This window comes from Homo sapiens, chromosome 10 (genome assembly GCF_000001405.40).
Source record: "Homo sapiens chromosome 10, GRCh38.p14 Primary Assembly".
Classification (NCBI taxonomy): Eukaryota; Metazoa; Chordata; class Mammalia; order Primates; family Hominidae; genus Homo; species Homo sapiens.
Genome location: NC_000010.11, coordinates 35870320 through 35876719, shown reverse-complemented (window position 1 = coordinate 35876719; position 6400 = coordinate 35870320).

The following is a 6400-nucleotide window of genomic DNA, read 5'->3' as shown; positions in this document are numbered from 1 at the left end:
AAGGCAATAAAATAAATAAATATATTGTATGATGGTGCTGAGGAGAAAAGTAAAGCGAGTCATGGACAAAAGGAGAGCGGGAGGTAGGTGTTAATGATTAAAGGATGGATTTAGAGCCTACATCTGACTCCAATGAGGAAAAGGAGATGGTATCACCATCCTCTAGTCAACCATTACCAGAACTTTTTTCACTTCCTTTTCTTCATCCCTGATCTTATCAAAGTAGCCACCAATTTCTTTAGTGTTTTCATTCCTAAAGTCTCTGTCATCCACGGCTCCTCCCCATTCCTGTATGCAGACATCCTAGTCCTCCCTCCTCCCGCCAAGGTCCCGCTCACATCTTTCCCCTTCCAGGAATTCTCCCAAGCTCCTTGGCCTGAACTGCACTCTGTGTTGTTTAATTCTCAGCACCTCTCTGTGGGCCACTTAGCACTGGCTGCCATAGCTGTGTAAGTTCCAATGAAAATCCCAATTATAATGCTTGTGGGATGAAACTTTCTCTGTGTCAAAGCACATGAATAATTAGAAAAAAAACAGTAGAAACTGTCGAAGCTGTGCTGCAAAGGCCTGCAGCTGGCATGACAAAATGCTGCAGAGAGCCTCCTGGGGATGGGAGAAATTTCACTGTGTAGCCTCTGAAGCCTCAGCTTCTTCATCAATAAAATGGGAGTGAATAATCCGTACTTCATAGCATTGTTGAAATGACTGAGTGGAATTAAGTAGTCACCCTGTGCCTGGCACATAGTAAACCAATAAGCCTTTGTAGGGCCATCATCACAGCAAACGTGAGCTTTCTCTTCTGCTTCTTCTCTCCCTGAGTTCAGACTCCCAGATCTACCCCAAACTCCCTCCCTCCACCCTTCTCTATCTTAAAGTTTACAAAGCAAGTCTGCTATTTGTATTTATACTTGACCAGTAGTGTGATTTTATTTAGTGGGCATAAATTTCAGTGTGTCCCCTCAACCAGGATTTGCATTTTAAAACTTCAGTCTGGTTTGGGAAAAGTTCCCAGCCTCATCCAGTAGGCTGGGAGAAGTGTGGCCAGTTAGGGGGTTTTGGAGTCTGCCTCCAGAACGTCTCCTTCTGGCTTTGCTGAGATGAATGAATTAACAGCTTGCTCAATTGCAGCTGTGGAAAACTGCCTTCATGGTCAATGACATTTTCCAGAACCTAACATTTGCCCTCCCCCACTCCAAACTCCCCTCACGTCTCCCCTCCTGCCATGATTCAGCTGAATGCAAGTTTCAGTTCACAGCCTCCCAGGAGAGGCCTCAGCACCCTGAAGAGAGGCGCTCCCTTTTGAGAAATGCCACACAGAGTTGCACATTCTTTCCCCGGGAAGGACCGCCTACAAGGCAAGCGTCTCTATATAGGGCTGTTATAAATAGAATCCTAATCTTCACAGTTAAGTCTCTCAGCATAAATGAATATTCGACATCAAGTTCATCAATCCCCTTTTTGTTGTGAATTTGGGTCACTGGAACACAAGACCCAGAAGCCAACAACTCCCACTGGAGCAACTACCAAGGGAGGCCCTTAATCTGCTCATGGTCACAGCCAGCCCCTGGATGGGCCTTCAGGGATGCCAGCAATGAGCACCGAATCTCGCTAGGACCCCATATCCTTACTATGACAGTAAGATGATGAAATCCATTTCGGATCCATTACCTAACAGAGTCTTATCTCCCACTCTGAATACAAGCTCTTTCTGGGAAAAACAAGCTCTCTATAAAAGGTGCATCCTGCCAGTTCTAGCACCTTGTACATGACATGGATTTCATTCTCACATTAATTAATCAAACATACCAAGTACAAAGGCAGGCTCTCCCCACGCTCCACATTCCATCATGCATTGTCTGTGGATGGGCCCCTGGTGGGAGGGTGGCGATCTCATGGCATCTTCAACCCTGTAGCTTTAGAGTCCTACATGTGACTGAAATCGAACAACATCACCCCATGGCTGACTGGGGAGGGATTTGAATGTTAACAACAACAGCCAAAAAAAAAAAAAAAAGCACAATAACGTTCTGAGATTCATGTCTAGTGTGTTTTATAAAAAGGGACAAGACTTTCCTGAAAAGTGTCCACCACTCCTGCAAGCTTTCCCTTATACATGACTGATTGGAAACATGAGGTTGTAAATTACTTCAAGCTGGTGGGGCCTGTTCTTAGGGATGCCAATTAGCATGGACTCTAGATTGACAAGGCTGAGACCTGTGTGTGTCATTCAACTCTCTGTGAAGCTACCAGTGACGAAACTGATCCTCTGAGGCAAAGTCCCTCATCAATGGGATTATTAGCTACATGGGCAAGAAAACGAGAGTGCTTAGTGAAAATGAAGAAAAAAAATGTTTTTAAGAAAAATCACCTGAGCAATAGAATTTCTTGTTTTGTTTTGGCAGCTTTAACAATGACTGTAACAAGCAGCCAGCCACCATGCCGAGTTCTTTTCAGCTGCATCTAATCTCACACCTGTTCATACTCATTAATCCTTAACGTCTGATAGCATTTCCATAATTTCCGTGGAAAGGGGCATTTTCTCATCTTAGTAATTAACTGTGCACTGCATGCAGCTGAAGAGAAAACCTAGCAAGTGCCCAGGATTGATAAGCAGGGTCCTGACTGAGTTGCAGGGTCCAGGCTGGGCATGGGGTAGGTGCTGAGGTCTGTGGGACACACAGAGGCAGAAAGGCCTGTTCTCTCCCTGAGCCCCCCGAGGCTGCAGGTCAGCAGCACTGTTCACTGAACCAACACCAGGAGCTCTCTCTTCAACTAATCAAATGCATTCTTATCACACGTTTGATATTCTTTATATACACAATGTATTAGTCTGTTCTCATGCTGCTAATAAAAACATACCCAAGACTGGGTAATTTACAAAGGAAAGAGATTTAATGGACTCACAGCTCCACATGGCTGGGGAGGCCTCATACTCATGGCACAAGGCAAAAGAGGAGCAAAGTCACGTTTTACATGGTGGCAGGCAAGAGAGCTTGTGCAGGGGAACTCCCGTTTATAAAACCATCAGATCTCGTGAGATTTATTCACTATCACAAGAACAGCCTGGGAAAGACCCACCCCCATGATTCAATTACCTCCCACTGAGTCCTCCCATGACATGTGGGAATTATGGGAGCTACAATTCAAGATGAGATTTGGGTGGGGACACAACCAGACCATATCAAATGACATCCCATTATTTAGTTTTCTCCCTTGAAGCCTAAGCCACATGGACAGTAATCATGTTTAGTACAGTATCCAAATTAACTGGAATTTGAAGATTTCCAATGACCTGCACTGTCTATTAAATACTTATATTAGAATTACTAGAATTATATAGGAAGTTGCAAAGATATTCACAGACATGTGGGGTTTTCTTGGGGGGGGAGCAGTACAGAGGCAATAAAATTATTCCTGCAATGCCCTTCTTACAATTACTCTGCCTCTGTCACAGCGTGTTTTTTTAAGAATCTATTTTGTTAGAATGGCACTCTGATATATTTCTTTGCCAGTGATCTTGTAGCCCCTGTTGGTGGTGACTTCTGGAGAAGGTCTGTGGTCTATATGAACGTCGGAAACCTTCCAGGCATGGGCTGTGGCTCAGCGAATGTCATCAGTGCCTGACGCTGGAGACAAGCCTCTGCTGAGGCTCTGTGTCATGACAGGCTCCGTCTTCTCTCCCTTTTCTGAGTCTTTCTTACCTGAAACAGAGAAAAGCAGAAAATACATGCGTCCAGGGGAGCAATTTTGGTCACCATTGGGGAAGTTTTGCCAGTGCTGACGCCTGATTCTGAGAAAACGGGCACTCCATTTTTGGCTTAGAGCCACAGTTGGCCTCCTTCCTTGAATCCCCCGCTGAGGGAGACAGCTGGGGAGAGACCAGCCTTCCCAGCCAGCTGGTCGTGGAAACTGTGCTCTGAACCAGCCCACAAAGCTCCTCACCATCCAAGGGAAATGCTACTCTTAATTTCCCACCTTAGATGTGTCTACCTGCATGTCTGTCTTCAAGACTTAAGGACTGTCCTGGGGAGTGGAGGGCTTTGCCATGCCTCACACTGCATCCTGGGATTGTGTACGAGGCCTGGCATGTCAGAGGCATGTCGTGGATGACTTTATAATAAACAAGCAGACGTGTGGGTCTATAGACTCCCTTCCCCTGCGTCCTCTGGCCCTCAGACTTCACTTGGCCTTTTACGATTCTCCTTCCCCTCCATTCCCCACATGGATCTGATTTTACCTGGATGAAAACGGTGGGGACAAAGCAGAAAGCACCATGGGATCTCATGAACCTCTTCGTGCTGGCCCCAACAAACACAAATAGTACAGAGAGCAGTCCTCACTCCCAGATGTACTGATCTGTGATCACCCCCAGGGCACAGGTCTCCCGACCTGCCAAGGTGTGACCCACACCAAACTAGACCCTACTACAAACTGACCACAGAGAACCAGACAGAGACAGTGGGCTGATTATTCGCATATCATTTTCCTTCCTTCCTTCCTTCCTTCCTTCCTTCCTTCCTTCCTTCCTTCCTTCCTTCCTTCCTTCTTCCCTTCCCTGTTACTGAACCAGTCACCAGATTTCAAGGGAAAAAAGTTGGGTCTCTCCTCATTTTACCAAGTGCTCCCAAATTTAACCCATTTAATCTGGTCCAAAACAAGACACTGACCTGCAACACTTGTGGGTAGAGACCCTCCAGAGGGCGGAGCTTATTGCTCTCCCGCACACTCACTGGCCCTGTGACTCTGAATATCTCACTCAACCAAGTTTTCTCATTTTTTGAAAGTGAGATGACAGCATGTGCCCTTGTTTCCTCCTGGGTCCCTCTGGGGATCCCAGGAAACCGCATGTGTGGGGCTTTGCAAATGCAAATTCCTACCCTGAGGTAGTAGTAATTGTCTCTCAGCTGGTAAAGGTTTGGAATTTTGTAGTAAATTAGAGGGGAAACTGTCCTGCCACCTTTTTTTTTTTATTTAGAGACAGGGTCTCACTCTGTTGCCCAGGCTGAAGTGCAGTGGCACAAACATCACTCACTGCCATCGTGAACTCCTCGGCACAAGCAATCCTCCCACCTCAGCTTCCTGAGTAGCTGGACAGGTGCATGCCACCATGCCCAGCTATTTCTTTAAAAATTTTTGTACAGTTGGGGGTCTCACTATGTTACCCAGGCTGGTCTCAAACTCCTGACCTCAATCAATCCTCCCACCTCAGCCTCCCAAAGTGTTGGAATTACAGGCGTGAGCCACGACAACCAGCCCAGAGAGCTCTTTCTAAAACATAATTCAATTTATGACATTTCCTAATTAAGACCTATTTATGGGACATGCCTCCCCCAGTCCAAATACAGACAAAAAAATAGATTAAGTAGAAACACAGAGCACTGAAGGCATAGTGAGACTCAAATAACAAGATAAATCTCCCCATGAAACAGAAACAGGAGAGAAATGCAAGTCAGTGGGCTCTGCTGGAGCTGGGGGCCTGCTAGACGGCTGTTCTGGAAGGAGGCTGTGGCAGTCTGCAGTTTGGTTCCAGTGGGGTAAAGAGGATACATTTACTCTACTCAACAGTATGGGACTAGCATCACTCACCAATTCCCACCCCCGCTCCCAATACCCATCCATAAAAGAAATTAAAAGCTGTGGCTAACCCTCCCCTGGGAGCTAGAGTTTTGAATAAGCTACAAACCTAGGAAGGAAAAAGAAGACAGAAACACAGTGTCCGATCAAGACAGGAAGGAAGCCACAGTATATCCCCAAAGCCACTGTGGGACAGGAGCACTGCAGCACTGCCAGGTTTAGGGCAGGGAGTCCTGAACAGCTGCACAAAGGTGACCACAAAACCCCCGGCCCAGGAGGGGTGAACACAGAAGGAAACAGAAAGAAGAAAAACAAAAACAAAAGCCTCCCACTCAAAATAAGCCTGCAAAGCAAAATTCCAAAACAGAGGAAGAAATCTAATACTGAGAAAGACAGCCAACAAAATCAACCTTCAAAACACGAATATGCCCTAGAGGAAATTAAGTGTGTGGATCCAGCTGGCAAAACTTTAAAATAGGTATGTTCAGTTGCCCAATGAGATAAATGAATAACTTCCATTTTAAAAGTGTGAGAAATTAAAATAAAAGCAGATGTAAATGAAAAAAAATGAAGGCATTGAGTTAAAAAAACAAAACTTAATGAATGATATATGCCCAGATCTGACACAGAGAGAAGCGAAAAACTGCTAGGAATCTGCCCGGAACACAGTACGGAAAGATTATACAAATTAACATCCACAGAGAATGACTGACATGATCTAAGGGTCCAACAGGAATTCTCTAATAGGGAAACAGACAAAATGGTGAAGAAGCATTATTCAGAATTTAAAATTTTCCAGATTTGAAGAAAGACATGAATCCTCAGA